This window comes from Homo sapiens, chromosome 19 (assembly GCF_000001405.40).
Source record: "Homo sapiens chromosome 19, GRCh38.p14 Primary Assembly".
NCBI lineage: Eukaryota > Metazoa > Chordata > Mammalia > Primates > Hominidae > Homo > Homo sapiens.
In genome coordinates this window covers 49,888,786-49,905,451 of record NC_000019.10, presented here as the reverse complement: position 1 = coordinate 49,905,451, position 16,666 = coordinate 49,888,786, and the positions used below count along the sequence as shown (strand labels likewise).

The window sequence follows — 16,666 nt, the reverse complement described above, 5'->3', positions numbered from 1 at the left end:
TTCCTGCAGTTCATAGGCCTTGACTCATATTGTCCCCTCTGCCGGAAGGGAGGCCTTGAGTCCCCTTAGGAGGTAGGAAGCAGTTTGCATTTTACCTACATTTGTGCGTTCAGCATCCATTTTTAGAGCTGATCCTGATCTGGTGCTGGAGGTACCAAAAAATGCCCACAAGGTCGTTGGCAGGGGCCACACAATCATGATGAGAAAATTTGAGCATGTATTTCCAAAGTGTACATGTATATTTTTCCTATTATTTTGCATATTATTTCCTATTTTGTATATTAACCATTAGCAAAGCTTAATTGCTTTCTTATAGTTATATTTTTAAAATAAATTCCAGCTTTGGGAGGCCGAGGCGGGTGGATCACCTGAGGTCAGGAGTTTGAGACCAGCCTGGCCAACATGGTGAAACCCCGTATCTTCTAAAAATACAAAAATTAGGGGCTGGGCACGGTGGCTCATGCCTGTAATCCCAGCCCTTTGGGAGGCCAAGGTGGGCGGATCACGAGGTTAGGAGATCGAGACCATCCTGGCTAACACGGTGAAACCCTGTCTCTACTAAAAATATAAAAAAATTAGCCGGGTGTGGTGGCAGGCGCCTATAGTCCCAGCTACTCGGGAGACTGAGGCAGGAGAATGGCATGAACCCGGGAGGCGGAGCTTACAGTGAGCAGAGATCAAGCCACTGCACTCCAGCCTGGGCAAAAGAGTGACTCCGTCTCAAATAAGTAAATAAATAATACAAAAATTAGCCCGGCGTGGTGGTGGGTGCCTGTAACTCCCAGGTACTCAGGAGAATCACTTGAACCTGGGAGGCGGAGGTTGCAGTGAGCCAAGATCGCGCCACTGCACTCCAGCCTGGGCAACAAAGTTAGACTTCATCTCAAAAAAAAAATTTTAAGTTCTGCATTTTCTTCCCATACCCCAAAGGATCTTGAGCACCCCACTCTGAATAACACAAGTGATTCCATTAAATCAGGAGGCTCTGTGCCCCAAAGCCATGTGAGAAATGGTCCCAACAGGCCTCCTGGGGGAGTCTAGGAGGGATCCCGAGATCGCAGCAGCATCAGCAACCGACTGGGTGCCACCGCGGGTGATGGCTCCATCGTAATTTCAGTTTCCCTTTCCAGGAAGAAAATACACAGATGTGCTTCCTTCCCAGTCCTGACAAATGGCCTTTCCTTAAGTTCCTCATTAATTCATATGAAGACAACACATTTGGTGACTAAATTTGGAATCAGAGGCTTTTAAAGGTGAATCTCAGCTCTTACTGCTTTGCTTTCCCCTGTTTAGGGATAAGAGTGGCAAATGGGGGCTGGGTGTGGTGGCTCATGCCTGTAATCCCGACATTTTGGGGAGGCCAAGGGGAGTAGATTACTTGGGGTCTGGAGTTTGAGACCAGCCTGGGCAACATGGCGAAACCTCGTCTCTACAAAAATACAAAAATTAGCCTGGCGTAGTGGCTCCTGCCTGTAGTTTCAGATACTTGGAGGCTGAGGTGGGAGGATCACATGAACCTGGGAGGCAGACATTGCAGTGAGCCGAGATCGTACCACTGCACTCCAGCCTGGGTAACAAAAGTGAGACCCTGTCTCAAAAAAAAAAAAAAAAAAAAAAAAAACCCAGCACATATAACAGTATAATATGTAGTCAAACCATGAGGGAATGATGACTTTTTATTCTTTTTTAGTAAAAACTAATCATCAATACAATTTATTTTTTAGTAATGAGTGGCTTGCAAAGCAAAAACTCCTGAAAATGTAAATCAGCTCTTATGACCTGGTATGACTCAGCTTCAGCACACCACTGCTCCCAAGTTTTCAGTAAACCCCAAAAATGTCAGGGTGCTTTAAAAATCTGCCCCTCAGACTCAGGGCAGCGGCTCTCCACAGAACCTCCCAGGGAGCAAAGCCCTCACGCTCGGAAGCGAGGTCTGCTTCTTGCACAGCAGCCAGCCCCCCAGCCAGGTTTCAGTGACCCCGGCTGTTCCCCTGCCTGTCCCACAGGACCACACCCTTGGCTTCTGCACACCAGGGCCCTGGTGACTTCAAACACAGTGACCCACATGGGCGCCCTTGTCCCGTCTCCCCTCCAGACACCATCAGGTTGAACCCTCTCAGACGCCAAAGGTTTCCCGAGGCAAGAAGCAGACCGGGTGCGCTGCCGTGATGGGGACTAGCCTGGTGCCCTGGGGTCACCTCAGATACCCTAGTTCCCTTGAATCCACAGAACTGATAGTGACACTTACTGACCAAGACAATGTCACTCAAATGCAATATGGACTGTGATTTGCATCTTGACAAACCAACCGTTTTTTGTTTTGTTGTTGTTTTTTTTTTCAGAGAGTCCTGCTCTGTTGCTCAGGCTGGCGTGCAGTGGTGTGATCTCGGCTCACTGCAATCTCTGCCTCCCGGGTTCAAGCGATTCTCCTGCCTCAGCCTCCTGAGTAGCTGGGACTACAGGCGTGCACTACCACACCCAGCTAATTTTCGTATTTTTAGTAGAGACAGGGTTTTACCATGTTGGCCAGGATGGTCTTGATCTCCTGACCTTGTGATCCACCTGTCTCGGCCTCCCAGAGTGCTGGGATTACAGGCATGAGCCACCACACCTGGCCTTTTTTTTTTGAGATGCAGTCCCGCTCTGTCGCCTAGGCTGGAGTGGCATGATCTCAACTCATAGCGACCTCTGCCTCCCAGGTTCAAGTGATTCTCCTGCCTCAGCCTCCTGAGTAGCTGGGATTACAGAGGTGCCCGCCACCACGCCTGGCTAATTTTTGTATTTTTAGTAGAGATGGGGTTTCACCATGTTGCCCAGGCTGGTCTTGAGCTCCTGACCTCAGGTGATCCGCTCACCTCGGCCTCCCAAAGTACTGTGATTGCAGGTGTCAGCCACCATGCCCGGCCTAAACTGTTTTTTTGTTTTGTTTTGTTTTGTTTTTCAGTGATGAGCTATTCCAGGAAACGTGAACATTGATTTAATGATATTAAGAAATGGCTGCCATCCGGAGCTTGCAGTGAGCCGAGATCGTGCCACTGCACTCCAGCCTGGGCAACTGAGCGAGACTCCATCTCAAAAAAAAAAAAAAAAAAGAAATGGCTGCCATCTTAAAATATGATAATGATATTGTAGTTTTTAAAAAGCAAAACATGGTCAGGTGCAGTGGCTCAGCCTTGTAATCCCAGCACTTTGGGAGGCCAAGATGGGAGGGATCACCCGAAGTCAGGAGTTCGAGACCAGCCCAGCCAACATGGTGAAACCCTGTCTCTACTAAAAATACGAAAATTAGCTGGGCATGGTGGCCTGTACCTGTAATCGCAGCTCCTCGGGAGGCTGAGGCAGGAGAACCACTTGAACCCAGGAGGTGGAGGTTGCAGTGAGCTGAGATTGTGCCACTGCACTCCGGCCTGGGTGACAGAACGAGACTCAGTCCCAAAAAATCAGAAGACAATATGGTGCCTGGGACTTGCTCTAAAATAAATCCAGTGAGAGGGCGGGGAGGGTGAGTGAGACAAGGGCTGTGTGAAGCCATGAATTCACCTGGGTTTATCCCCTGCTCACTCTGGTTTTAGATGTTTGAAAGTTTCCATAATAAAACACTTCTGAGAAAGGGGGACCTGCCTTTCACAGCCTCCCAGCTGCTCTGACCCCAATATCAGGAACTTGGCATCTCTGATCTAACAAGGGCACCACTAACAAGGACAAAGCCACCATCATTCACCTTGATTCCGCACATGCCCAACGATGACTTCTGTCCTGGGCTAACCATAAAGGCCATGGGTGCTGAGAGAGCCCCCCAGAGGCAGCCATGCAGTGAGTGCCCCCACCCGGGGCCCTGGGATGTTCTGGAAACAGGAAGGAGGGTTCCATGGGAAGGGGGACCCTGTCCTGGGGTCAGGCCAAAGATTGGGGGACTCACTAATTCTGTCCTCCGATCCCTGAGTCCCTTCCCCAATCTGGGCCTGGACCCCCTGACTCCCACCCAGGTCCCAGGTCATCCCCTGGGCAGGCCCTGCCCACCCAAGCCTTGGTGAAAGTTTTGTGTTTGTTTTGTTTTGTTTTGTTTTTGAGACAGAGTCTCGCTCTGTAGCCCAGGCTGGAGTGGAATGGCGCGGTCTCGGCTCACCGCAACCTCTGCCTCCCAGGCTCGAGCGATTCTCCCGCCTCAGGATCCTGAGTAGCTGGGATTACAGATGCCCGCCACCACGCCCGGCTAATTTTTTTGTATTTTTAGTAGAGACAGGGTTTCACCATGTTGGCCAGGCTGGTCTCGAACTCCTGATCTCGTGATCTGCCCGCCCACCTCGGCCTCCCAAAGTGCTGTGATGACAGGAGTGAGCCACCGCGTCTGGCCAATGAAACTTTTAATACTGACCACTTAGGGTCTTTGGACAGACTCAGAGAAGAGAATGCGTATATACGTAAGGCAGGGGCCCGGTCCCCAGCACATCTGTGCAGCCCTCATCAGCATCAGCTGCCCTGATGGGCCACGAGGCCCCCAGTGGGGCCAGGGCCAGGTGTCTGGCTGCTGTATAGACATGACCTAAACCTCATCGAAACCATCATTGTGGTTCTAGAAGTCAACCAAATAAGGTAGGATTTGCCCCACCAAAGACCATTATCTGGGAGGATTAACCTTATTTTCCAGAAACTCCATCAAAAAACCAGAATACCCCCAAACCAGCTGAAGTCAACAGATACTTGACTGGGCCTTTCCTCCCCTCCGCTCCCTCCACCTGCCCCTCCCCTCCCTCCTGTCTCCCACTCACCTATCCAAACTGCTTTTCCCTAATTCCACCCTCATCCCTAAACCTAATTTAACCTGAACACCAATCTCCTTAGTATTATCAGAAATGATTCTGGAGGCTGGGCATGGTGGCTCACACTTGTAATCCCAGCACTTTGGGAGGCCCAGGTGGGTGGATCACCTGAGGTCAGGACTTCAAGACCAGCCTGTCCAACATGGAGAAACCCCGTCTCTACTAAAAATATAAAAATTAGCTGAGCGTGGTGGTGCGCGCACCTGTAATCCCAGCTACTGGGGAGGCTGAGGCAGGAGAATCACTTGAACCCAGGAGGCAGAGGCCACAGTGAACTGAGATCACACCACTGTACTCCAGCCTGGGCGACAGAGCATTCTGGAAAGGCATCAATCCTGAACCAGCTGACTTGCGCCCTCTGCTCTTCACTGGGGGCACCTGGCCTGTCTGATGTATTGCTTCAAACTAACATTAATTGGGATTTTTTTTTCTTTAATTACAAAAGTAATACATGCTGAATGAAGATGATGTGAAATGCACAAAAAAGCTCAAAGGGGCCGGGCATAGTGGCTCATGCTTGTAATCCCAGCACTCTGGGAGGCCAAGGCAGGTAGATCACCTGAGCCCAGGAGTTTGAGACCAGGCTGGGCAACATAGCAAGGCCCCGTCGCTATGAAAAAGTACAAAAATTTAGCTGTGCATGGTGGTGTGCACCTGTGGTCCCAGCTACTCGAGAGACTGAGGCTGGAGGATCGCTTAAGCCCAGGAGTTCAAGACCAGCCTGGGCAGCATAACAAAATCCCATCTCTACAAACAGCACAGAAATTAGCCAGGTGTGGCCGGGCGAGGTGGCTCACGCCTGTAATCCCAGGACTTTGGGAGGCCGAGGCGGGCAGATCACAAAGTCAGGAGATTGAGACCATCCTGGCTAACACGGTGAAATCTCATCTCTACTAAAAATACAAAAATTAGCCGGACGTGGTGGCAGGTGCCTGTAGTCCCAGCTACTCTGGAGGCTGAGGCAGGAGAATGGCGTGAACCCAGGAGGTGGAGCTTGCAGTGAGCCAAGATAGCGCCACTACACTCCAGCCTGGGTGACAGAGTGAGACTCCGTCTCAATTAAAAAAAACAAAAAAAACAAAAAACAGGTGTGGTAGTGCACTCCTGTAGTCCCAGCTACTAGGGAGGCTGAGGTGGGAGGATTGCTTGAGCCCGGGAGGTTGAGGCTGCAGTGAGCCGAGATTGTGCCACTGTGCTCTAGCCTGAGTGACACAGCAAGACCCCATCTCTCAAAACAACAACAACAACCACCCAGAAGTCCCCCAAGGTGAGCTGCACATATGCCTGGGGCCAGAGGAGTTTTGTGCAACAACCCTCTGTGATAAGGACAAGGGGATTGGTGCAGGGCCCCACCCACTCTGGGGACCCAAAAACTCCTGGGACATGCCCTGGGAGCCAGTTGGCTGTGGGCCTCCACACCTTTCCATGGTTGTTTCCACTGTTATGCGGCTGTAGGACTGAACAAGCTATTGGGCAGGGGCCGGGGACCTGGGGCCCACCCGACCTGGTGAGGAATGCCAGCACTGCCATTCCCCACTGTGGGACCCAGGTCGAGGCACAGGCGAATAAGGCCCCAATCCCGCCGCGTTCATACTTGACATGTCGCTGTGAATGAAACTCTGAGACCTAGGCCAAGCCTTTTCCCCTCTCTGTGCCCCAGGGTCCTCCTGTCCCACCCTCTCGCCATCTCCAAGCCTCAGTTTCCTCAACTATCAAATGCAGGCATTGTTGTTGGTTTTTTGTTTGTTTGTTTGTTTGTTTTTGAGACGGAGTCTCACTCTGTCCCCCAGGCTGGAGTGCAGCGGTGCAATCTCGGCTCACTGCAACCTCTGCCTCCCGGGTTCAAGCGATTCTCCTGCCTCAGTGTCCCGAGTAGTTGGGATTACAGGTGTGCACCACCACGCCTGGCTAATTTTTTATATTTTTGGTAGAGACAGGGTTTCATCATTTTGGCCAGGTTGGTCTTGAACTCCTGACCTCAAGTGATCCGCCCACCTCAGCCTCCCAAAGTGCTGGGATTACAGGCGTAAGCCACTGTGCCTGGCCTCAAATGCAGGCATTGTGAGGCTTACGATGGGTGCAAAGCCCTGAGCACCAGGCGGCCTCCAAGGCAGGTGATCGCCATGGGAACATTTTTGTCACTATTTTTTTCTTTTTTAGAGAAAGGGTTTCGCCATCTTGGCCAGGCTGGTCTCGAGCCCCTGGGCTCAAGCAATCCTCCCACCTCGGCCTCCCAAAGTGCTAGGATTACAGCAGTGAGCCTCCGCACCCGGCCCTCATTACTATTTTTTATTTTTATTTTTTATTTTTTGAGATGGAGTCTGGCTCTGTCACCCAGGCTAGAGTGCAGTGGCACGATCTCAGCTCACTGCAACCTCCACCTCTTGGGTTCAAGCAATTCTCCTGTCCCAGCCTCCTGAGTAGTTGGGACTACAGGCGTATGCCACCATGCCCGGCTAATTTTTATATTTTTAGTAGAGACGAGGTTTTGCCATGTTGGCCAGGCTGGTCTTGAACTCCTGACATCAGGTGATCCGCCTGCCTCGACCTCCCAAAGTGCTGGGATTATAGGCGTGAGCCACCCCTGGCCCTCGTCACTATTTTTGCTGACCCAAGCTCTTTCGGTCCCTGAACTCTCCAGCTCTTTGATCATTTCCCTTTGCCACGGCCTCCCGCCCCTGCGTCACATGCCTTGTTACTCACATTCACCCCCCAGCCCCTCCCGGCCATAACCGCATCCCTCTTTGATTTACTGCGGGAGTTTCCCATCTTCCTTCTTGTTAATGCCCTCCAACCCCCACCCAACCCTTGCTGCAGAGAATCTGCCTCCCTCTGGTTTTCCTCCTCACGGAGCCCCTGGCTCCCTCTCCCCCACCCCAAGGAAAGTCCCTGCTATTGTTTCTCCACCCCCACCCACTCCAAGGTGCCGCCCCACTCCCTGCCCTGAGCACTGAGGTGGTTCTTAAAGCAGGGATGGGTGAAGCCTGGGCGCTTCCCTCTGCCGGGTGGTCACTCATAGAACCCCTGAGTGCCCCTGCGGCCACAGCAGCTGGCATTTCCAAAGGAGCAGCTTCCAGTACTACCCCAGGTTCCGGCCACAGAACTTAACCTGGATTCACTCACTTGATCCTAAAACACTGTGACGTCTGTAGACGTCATTTGACAGCTGTAGACGAGAGCCACAGAGGGGAGGGCGGGCTCAGAGCCCACGTCCTGACCCCGGGACCACGGCTGCCAGCCCCACTGCTACACCCATGTAACGGAGGGGGAGACTGAGGCTCTGGGTGGCAAGTGGAGAGGGAAGTGGAACCATGGGGGGCCCTGCAGGACATGGCGACACCTGACGGAGAGGGACTTGGAGGGGAAAGTTGGCCTGGCCCAGGGACCTGTAGCCCCTCTGTCCCCGTGGGAATCAAGGAGGCAGAGAGAGTGCAGGGGAGGATAGAAACAAGTGGCCTGGTGATCAGGGACGGGGGCAAACCGAAGGGGATTCCCCGTTGTTGGCACGGTTACCTGAGCATCTATTTCTGGCCTCCAAACCACCCCAGAACTATCTGGGGCAAAAGGAAGTGAATAGACTGATTAACTTCCTCCAACCCCCTTTCTCCAACCTCAACTAGACTCTGAGCATTGGACCAGAGCAGCTCCAGGAAACCAGTTTCATTTCCCTCGGCCAGTTTCCCAAAAGGAGGGGTGGGCGGGGCTCTGCCAGTTTAAGGGGAGAGAAAGGGCCACAGCAGAGACAGTGGAGGGCAGTGGAGAGGACCGCGCTGTCCTGCTGTCACCAAGAGCTGGAGGTAGTGACACGGCCAGTGGTGGGGGGACAGAGAGACAGGACCCACAGAAATAGGGACTGAGAAGCAGTCAGGAGCTGGGGAGATGAGGAAGAGGGAAAAGAGGCCGGGCGCGGGGGCTCATGCCTGGAATCCCAGCACTTTGGGAGGCCGAGGTGGGTGGATCACCTAAGGTCAGGAGTTCGAGACCAGCCTGGCCAACATGGCGAAACCCCGTCTCTACTAAAAATACAAAAATTAGCCAGGTTTGGTTATGGGTGTCTGTAATCCCAGTTACTTGGGAGGCTGAAGTGGGAGGATTCTTGAACCTGGGAGGCGGAGGTTGCAGTGAGCCAAGATCTTACCACTGCACTCCAGCCTGGATGGCAGAGAAAGACTGTTAAAAAAAAAAGAAAGAAAGGAAAGAAAGAGGGAAAAGAAGAGAAAGAGACAGGAACCCGAGAGAGCTGTGGCAGAGGTGGAGACCGGTGAGGAGGGAGGCAGGGACGGTCCAGGGGACTCTGAAGGAATGGGGTTAGGGGACACAGGTCCAGAGAGCAGGACAGTGACTGGGGGAGGGCCGGCTCTAGCAGCTGGGCAGCCCATGGGAGACAGAGTCAGGCTACAGTGGTCACAGGCCTCAGTCACAACAGCCCTCCCTTCTCCTCCACCCCAGACACCATCTCCCACCGAGAGTCATGGCCCCATTGGGTGAGTAAGCAGGGGAGGGGCTCTGGAACAAGTGAGTAGAACCCCTCTCCCCCGACCTGCCACAACCCCGTTGACCCTGTCCTCCTCCTCCCAGCCCTGCACCTCCTCGTCCTCGTCCCCATCCTCCTCAGCCTGGTGGCCTCCCAGGACTGGAAGGCTGAACGCAGCCAAGACCCCTTCGAGAAATGCATGCAGGATCCTGACTATGAGCAGCTGCTCAAGGTGGTGACCTGGGGGCTCAATCGGACCCTGAAGCCCCAGAGGGTGATTGTGGTTGGCGCTGGTGTGGCCGGGCTGGTGGCCGCCAAGGTGCTCAGCGATGCTGGACACAAGGTGGGAAGCACTGCTTGCAGTCTACCTGGAGTCCCTCCTGCTGCAGGCTGGAGTCCCTGGGCACAGGGACACGGCCGCGTTCCTCCTTGAGGGGGTGGAGGTGGGGATGTGGGGGGAGAGGCTATCTTTCCCTGTAGTCTGGGGGTGAGGCCCAAGCCCCCTGCTGTCACATGTCTCCACTGAGAGGCCCCAGACTTTCCTGTCCCACGTTTTTCATCCCAGAGGGAAGTCTCACTGGCTCAAAGCTCCTCTGTCCTGGGGTGGGGCGCCTGTTGGTGGAGAGGGAAACTCTACCAAGGGGATGTGTGCCCTGAGGTCTAACCACTGACCTACTCACTGCAATCCGAGAATGAGAATGGGCCAGCCCAGGGGCTTCTACGCATATGGGTCATCTCCGAACTCCCCGAGCTGGGAAGTCCCTTTGCAGTCTAGCTGGCAGCCTTCCTCCTGCAGTCTGGAACTGCTCACTCAGTTCTGTTCCCCCACCTCCATACAGAAGGGGACCCTCTCCTAGTCTGGGTCTGGGCCACTGTGGGGATGGAAGAAGGCAGGGGGCTGGCACGGGGTGGTAGAGGGCAGGGGATGGTCAGTGGGTGGAGCTGAAGGGCCCTCCTCGCCCCACGGACTCCCTCAGGTCACCATCCTGGAGGCAGATAACAGGATCGGGGGCCGCATCTTCACCTACCGGGACCAGAACACGGGCTGGATTGGGGAGCTGGGAGCCATGCGCATGCCCAGCTCTCACAGGTGACCTAGCAACCCACCCACCTGTGTGCCTAGACTCAACTAGCCCCCCAGCTCCATGCCCACACCAGAGTGGGCCCGAACTTCCACTCTGACTCCCAAACCCAGCCTCCAACCCCATCCTTCGCCTAATCCTCACCTCAGTCTTGCCTCCAGCGCCAGCCCTGGGCCTCTGGCAACACTCGGGCCACCTGGTCCAACCAGACCTCCAGCTGGCCCTGCCTGGTGCAAAAGCCAGCTCCTGTGCTGGCCCCTCCAGGCCTGCAGCTCCACCATCCCCACACCCTCAGGCACCCCAGCCCCAGGCCCCTTCTTCATCTCAAACCCCCGTCCAACCCAAACTCTGTCCCCCTTCCCAATTCTAATCTGGGCTCTATCCCACTCTTAACCCAATCCTAATCCTGGTACTGCCCTGAGGCCTCCAGCCTTGTCCCCATTTCATTCCCATCCCCCAGCATTGATTACCCCAAATCTAGCCCCACCCCCAGCCTCATGCTGGTCCCCAGCTACTCTCCCCTCCCACCCCTCTTCTCCAAGTCCCACTAGGGACCAGGCCACCCCCACTGGAGCCCGGCCCTCACTCACCCACTCCCCTGATCAGGATCCTCCACAAGCTCTGCCAGGGCCTGGGGCTCAACCTGACCAAGTTCACCCAGTACGACAAGAACACGTGGACGGAGGTGCACGAAGTGAAGCTGCGCAACTATGTGGTGGAGAAGGTGCCCGAGAAGCTGGGCTACGCCTTGCGTCCCCAGGAAAAGGGCCACTCGCCCGAAGACATCTACCAGATGGCTCTCAACCAGGTGGGTACCGCCTGCACCCTCCTCCCGCCCTGACTTCTCTGTCCTCCTCCTAAGCTCGCCCCGGCCCGGCTTTTCTTCTCTCTGGCATCCCTTCAGTCCCCTCCATGGGGTGGGGCGCCTGTTGGTGGAGATGGAAATTCTACCAAGGGGATGTGTGCCATGAGGTCTAACCACTGACCTACTCACTGAAATCCGAGAATGAGAATGGGCCAGCCCAGGGGCTTCTACACATATGGGTCATCTCTCAACTCCCTTCTTTTTTTTTTTTTTTTTTTTTTTTTTGAGATGGAGTCTTACTCTGTCACCCAGGCTGGAGTGCAATGGCGCCATTTCAGCTCACTGCAACCTCCGCCTCCCAGGTTCAAGCAATTCTCTGCCTCAGCCTCCCGAGTAGCTGGGATTACAGGCGCCCGCCACCACGCCCAGCTAATTTTTGTATTTTTAATAGAGACGGGGTTTCACCATCTTGGCCAGGCTGATCTTGAACTCCTGACCTCGTGATCCACCTGCCTCAGCCTCCCAAAGTGCTGGGATTACAGGCGTGAGCCACTGCCCCCGGCCCCAACTCCCTTCTTTAGCTTCCCCGTAAACACTGCTGACCCCAAAGCTGCATCAGCTTTTGGCCTCTTCCCCTTTCACCCACACACTGTCCTGGATAACCTCCCCAGTCTCCACCTCTGGCTTAAACATAGATCCATGGGCTGATGGAGACATCTGCCTCCCGAGACCCTGATCTGTGTCCCTCCCCAGGACACTGGGCTCAGAAGCTTCCCCTAAACCTGTTCCTCCTCCCGGTGCCCCCATCTCACGATGGCCCCACCATCCCGCAGTCACGGGCAGACCCCTAGGAGCCATCCTCCTCCTGACCTCCTCCTCGCCCACCTCCCCCACCATCAGTGCCCACCCCTGCCGCCTGACGCTTGTGCCCTGCTCCCCTCTGCCTGCCCCAGCTCAGGCCTCCTCCTCTGCCCTGGACCCTCCCCCAGCCTCCTCTCAAGCTGCCCAGGCTCTAGTCTCCCCAGCCTGGTACCAGAAACGTCTTCCCACACACCCAGAGTGATGCTGCTCACAGCCCCCAGTGGCTCCCCGCTGCCTCCAGGACAAAGTCTGATCTTTTCAGGCTCAGCTTTGAGCCCTGACTGGCCTTCCCTTCTGCACCCCTCCAGCCTCATGCTCTTTTCTCCTCTAAGAAATTTTTGTCCTCATGGTGGTCCACATGCCCCCAGCTCTGTGTTCCTCACACCCACTATACCTGTGTATCACCCTCCCTTTCCAGAATGCCTTTCCCTTCCCCACACAGGAACTCCTGCTCAGCCCTCAAGAACTAGCTCCAATGTCCCCTCCTCCAGGAAGCCTTCCCTGATACCTTTAGGGAGGAACTGGCCACACCCAACATCCCCTCCCCACCCAGGTCAGAGCCCACTTGCCCATCTCCCCTTCTAGACCAGGATGGGGGCCATGTCCAGGTCATTTCTATGCCTTGACACTGACTGGTTTGGGAGTCTGAGAGATGCGAGATGCATGAGTGAGTGAAGGGGCACTGCCTTCCCTCTGAGGTCCTGGCCAGAAGGGGGAAGCCAGGTGGACCAAGAAGAAGGCTGAAATTAGATGGGGGCAGCAAGGCTTCTGGGAGGGGGTGAGATTCGAACAAAGTGCTGAAGAACACGCACTCATGTGCCACGCAAAGACAGGCAGGGAAACAATAGGTGCCAGATGTGTAGGTGGGAGAGCCCTGAGGGCAGGTGGTCTGGGCACTGTACACTGTTCACAGAACCAGAGCTGCCATAAAAGACATGGACTGAGGTAAGTGGGGATCTTGGTTCTGCTGAGATTCAGGGCAAAGAGAGTGACCATGAGGCCTTCCCCAGAGAGTCAGAAGGCGGGTACCTGGCACGCAGTGGCTCACGCCTGTAATCCCAGCACTTTGGGAGGCCGAGGCAGGCAGATCACTTGAGGTCAGGAGTTCGAGACCAGCCTGACCAACATGATGAAACCCTGTCTCTACTAAAAATGCAAAAATGAGCCAGGTGTGGTGGCAGGCGCCTGTAATCCCAGCTACTTGGGAGGGTGAGGTGGGAGAATCACTTGAACCTGGGAGGCAGAGGTTTCAGTGAGCTGAGATGGCGCCACTGCACTCCAGCCTGGGCAACAGAGCGACACTCCATCTCAAAAAAAAAAAAAAAAAAAAAAGACATTGAGGGGCTAGCAGGGGCCTTGAACATGAGGCTGAGGGGCAAGAATTCTGTGGCTCCAGGCACTGGGGAGCTACAGGAGGGCTGTGGGCAGGGGACGGACGGTAGATAAACTTCTCAGCCATCATGCCCTGTCAGCACTGACCAGTGGCACAGGGGACCAGCTTCTGTCCGTGGCCACAGTGATTCAGGCAACAAATAATCACTGAGCCCCCGGGAGGACACAGCACGCCTGGGACCCTCTCCCAGTCTCCTCTCCAGCTGCCCACATCCCTGCCTCCATGGAGCTCACAGTCTGGCTGGCTGGCTGAAAAATAGGCAAAATAACACGCAACCGGGATGAGCTGTGACCAGCCGGGCCAGCCGAATGAGGGGGGATGGGCGGCGTTAACAGTTCGGTAATATCGGAGGAGCAGTGGCATCTGAGTTGCCGTGGAGGGCAAGGCGGAGGGCATGGTGTGGGCAAAAGCCCAGGGGCTTGAGAGTGGTGAATGGCCAGCCGTGGGCAGAACCACGAGGAGAAGCCGAGTGTGGGCTCCAGGCCCGGCCTCCACCCTGGCTGCCCGGGCAGCTCAGCACCATGTCTGCTTCTTCCACAACAGGCCCTCAAAGACCTCAAGGCACTGGGCTGCAGAAAGGCGATGAAGAAGTTTGAAAGGCACACGCTCTTGGTAAGTGGGGATCTTGGTTCTGCTGAGATGCAGGGCAAAGAGAGTGACCATGAGGCCTTCCCCAGAGAGTCAGAAGGCGGGTACCTGGCACCCTAGTCCTGCCACCGCCTTCCTGCCTGACCCGGGGGCTGGACACGCCCCCTGTCTGGACCTCCGTTTCCCTCATCTGTCAGAGAGTGGGGACAGGATCCTACGGTCCAAGGACATGTCATGGGACCAGGAGGCCCAGCTGCGGAGGGGCTCTCTCAGGGGTGCAGCCTGCCTGGGCCCTAACCTCGGCCTGTGCCCAACCTGCAGGAATATCTTCTCGGGGAGGGGAACCTGAGCCGGCCGGCCGTGCAGCTTCTGGGAGACGTGATGTCCGAGGATGGCTTCTTCTATCTCAGCTTCGCCGAGGCCCTCCGGGCCCACAGCTGCCTCAGCGACAGACTCCAGTAAGGGGCGGGGCTGGCGGGCAGGGGGGGGGGGCGGGGGGCAATCAGGGAAAGTAGCAGGGAGTGGGAGGAGCCTCTGGGTCTGGGGGCGGGGCTGTTGTGAAGGGCGTGGCCTAATTGATGGTCGCGGGGCTAAGGGTTCCCAGATAAAGGACACGGCCTAGGGGAGAAGTGGTGGGGTCCCTGGTGACACAATCCACTACTCCTGCGGCCTTTGGGATGTCAGGGACGGGCGGGGTCGGGAGAGGTGGATGACGGGGGAGCGGGCCGGTGCCCATAAGGGCCAGCTGCCGGGGTGGGTGGGGCAAGGCAGAGGGGCAGGGCCGCAGAGCCCAGGTCACGCCCCCACCCCGCCCCGCCCCGCCTGCAGGTACAGCCGCATCGTGGGTGGCTGGGACCTGCTGCCGCGCGCGCTGCTGAGCTCGCTGTCCGGGCTTGTGCTGTTGAACGCGCCCGTGGTGGCGATGACCCAGGGACCGCACGATGTGCACGTGCAGATCGAGACCTCTCCCCCGGCGCGGAATCTGAAGGTGCTGAAGGCCGACGTGGTGCTGCTGACGGCGAGCGGACCGGCGGTGAAGCGCATCACCTTCTCGCCGCCGCTGCCCCGCCACATGCAGGAGGCGCTGCGGAGGCTGCACTACGTGCCGGCCACCAAGGTGTTCCTAAGCTTCCGCAGGCCCTTCTGGCGCGAGGAGCACATTGAAGGCGGCCACTCAAACACCGATCGCCCGTCGCGCATGATTTTCTACCCGCCGCCGCGCGAGGGCGCGCTGCTGCTGGCCTCGTACACGTGGTCGGACGCGGCGGCAGCGTTCGCCGGCTTGAGCCGGGAAGAGGCGTTGCGCTTGGCGCTCGACGACGTGGCGGCATTGCACGGGCCTGTCGTGCGCCAGCTCTGGGACGGCACCGGCGTCGTCAAGCGTTGGGCGGAGGACCAGCACAGCCAGGGTGGCTTTGTGGTACAGCCGCCGGCGCTCTGGCAAACCGAAAAGGATGACTGGACGGTCCCTTATGGCCGCATCTACTTTGCCGGCGAGCACACCGCCTACCCGCACGGCTGGGTGGAGACGGCGGTCAAGTCGGCGCTGCGCGCCGCCATCAAGATCAACAGCCGGAAGGGGCCTGCATCGGACACGGCCAGCCCCGAGGGGCACGCATCTGACATGGAGGGGCAGGGGCATGTGCATGGGGTGGCCAGCAGCCCCTCGCATGACCTGGCAAAGGAAGAAGGCAGCCACCCTCCAGTCCAAGGCCAGTTATCTCTCCAAAACACGACCCACACGAGGACCTCGCATTAAAGTATTTTCGGAAAAAGCCGTGTGGTCCAGCCTCCCCCGTGGCTCAGTTACTTCCCCAGTTTGCCTGCATCGGAACCACTAGCCCTGCAGTTAGCAGGCGCCACGCCCATCCTGGAGCCCCCCCAAAAATCTGCCCCTCACTTCTTCCTGGACAGTGGGGCTCCAGAGGAGGGTGGGGGGTGGTGCGCACAGAGGGAACCGGAAGGACGCCCTGCACCACCGGGAAATGGCAATCACAGCGACCACCTCTGTCACGAGGCTGAAGTCCAGATGGGCCCTAATGCAAGTAACAGAAAGCCCAGCTGACAGTGGCTGAACAGGAGGTGATTTTTCTCACAAGCAGCAGCTGGGAGGGCAGGCTCCCCAGAGTGCATCTCTGCAGGCCCTTCCACCTTGGTTATGTCCGGGAAGTGTTCCCACACAGCTACCAGGTCGCCGCCACAGCCCAGAGCACCCTATCCTCTTCCAAAAACCCCAAATCAGGCCGGGCGCGGTGGCTCACGCCTGTAATACCAGCACTTTGGGAGGCCAAGGCAGGCAGATCACCTGAGGTCGGGAGTTCAAGACCAGCCTGGGCAACATGGTGGAACCCCATCTCTACCAAAATTACAAAAATCAGCCGGGTGTGGTGGCACACGCCTGTAGTCCCAGCTACTCAGGAGGCTGAGGCAGGGTAATTGCTTGAACCCGGGAGGCGGAGGCTGCAGTTAGCCGAGATCTGCCACTGCACTCCAGCCTGGGCGACAGAGCAAGACTCCATCTCATAAAACAAACAAACAAAAAAACAAATCAGGCAACTCAGGAAGCCCTGCCTCCACAAACCCCAATCATTCACCCTAGGCTCTGCCCAGCCACCATCCCCTCCTCAACCAGGTCAGAGCCCA

General features: G+C 56.3%; 1 protein-coding gene across 6 annotated transcripts in view, besides 7 other annotated features; it reads left to right on the top strand.

Moving 5' to 3' along the window:
- Positions 1-15,798, top strand: part of IL4I1 (interleukin 4 induced 1) — a 39,851-nt gene extending 24,053 nt beyond the window's left edge. For 2 of the 6 annotated variants that reach the window (NM_001258017.2, NM_172374.3), the window contains exons 3-10: positions 1,131-1,253; positions 3,631-3,813; positions 9,399-9,637; positions 10,272-10,384; positions 10,983-11,184; positions 13,979-14,047; positions 14,345-14,481; positions 14,852-15,798. In NM_001258017.2, the coding sequence (NP_001244946.1) occupies positions 3,735-3,813; positions 9,399-9,637; positions 10,272-10,384; positions 10,983-11,184; positions 13,979-14,047; positions 14,345-14,481; positions 14,852-15,782 (1,770 nt within the window). In that variant the 5' untranslated portion in view covers positions 1,131-1,253; positions 3,631-3,734 and the 3' untranslated portion in view covers positions 15,783-15,798. Of the gene's footprint in view, positions 1-1,130; positions 1,254-3,572; positions 3,814-8,564; positions 8,618-9,269; positions 9,305-9,398; positions 9,638-10,271; positions 10,385-10,982; positions 11,185-13,978; positions 14,048-14,344; positions 14,482-14,851 lie in introns of those variants that run through there. The other 4 variants (NR_047577.2, NM_001258018.2, NM_001385639.1 and 1 more) reach the window with 4 other exon arrangements.
- Positions 7,456-7,635: an enhancer, noted in NCBI's record as "active region_14967". NCBI's record gives its function as "activates an Ori minimal core promoter by ATAC-STARR-seq in GM12878 lymphoblastoid cells {active_cell/tissue: GM12878}" and the evidence as "EXISTENCE:reporter gene assay evidence [ECO:0000049][PMID:35858748]".
- Positions 10,030-10,079: an enhancer, noted in NCBI's record as "active region_14966". NCBI's record gives its function as "activates an Ori minimal core promoter by ATAC-STARR-seq in GM12878 lymphoblastoid cells {active_cell/tissue: GM12878}" and the evidence as "EXISTENCE:reporter gene assay evidence [ECO:0000049][PMID:35858748]".
- Positions 13,370-14,036: an enhancer, noted in NCBI's record as "H3K4me1 hESC enhancer chr19:50394673-50395339 (GRCh37/hg19 assembly coordinates)". NCBI's record gives its function as "activates a minimal SCP1, AML or CMV promoter by ChIP-STARR-seq in naive and primed H9 embryonic stem cells {active_cell/tissue: H9 hESC(naive and primed)}" and the evidence as "EXISTENCE:reporter gene assay evidence [ECO:0000049][PMID:30033119]".
- Positions 14,037-14,705: an enhancer, noted in NCBI's record as "H3K4me1 hESC enhancer chr19:50394004-50394672 (GRCh37/hg19 assembly coordinates)". NCBI's record gives its function as "activates a minimal SCP1, AML or CMV promoter by ChIP-STARR-seq in primed H9 embryonic stem cells {active_cell/tissue: H9 hESC(primed)}" and the evidence as "EXISTENCE:reporter gene assay evidence [ECO:0000049][PMID:30033119]".
- Positions 14,706-15,373: an enhancer, noted in NCBI's record as "H3K27ac-H3K4me1 hESC enhancer chr19:50393336-50394003 (GRCh37/hg19 assembly coordinates)". NCBI's record gives its function as "activates a minimal SCP1, AML or CMV promoter by ChIP-STARR-seq in naive H9 embryonic stem cells {active_cell/tissue: H9 hESC(naive)}" and the evidence as "EXISTENCE:reporter gene assay evidence [ECO:0000049][PMID:30033119]".
- Positions 14,741-14,930: a silencer, noted in NCBI's record as "silent region_10945". NCBI's record gives its function as "represses an Ori minimal core promoter by ATAC-STARR-seq in GM12878 lymphoblastoid cells {active_cell/tissue: GM12878}" and the evidence as "EXISTENCE:reporter gene assay evidence [ECO:0000049][PMID:35858748]".
- Positions 15,161-15,330: a silencer, noted in NCBI's record as "silent region_10944". NCBI's record gives its function as "represses an Ori minimal core promoter by ATAC-STARR-seq in GM12878 lymphoblastoid cells {active_cell/tissue: GM12878}" and the evidence as "EXISTENCE:reporter gene assay evidence [ECO:0000049][PMID:35858748]".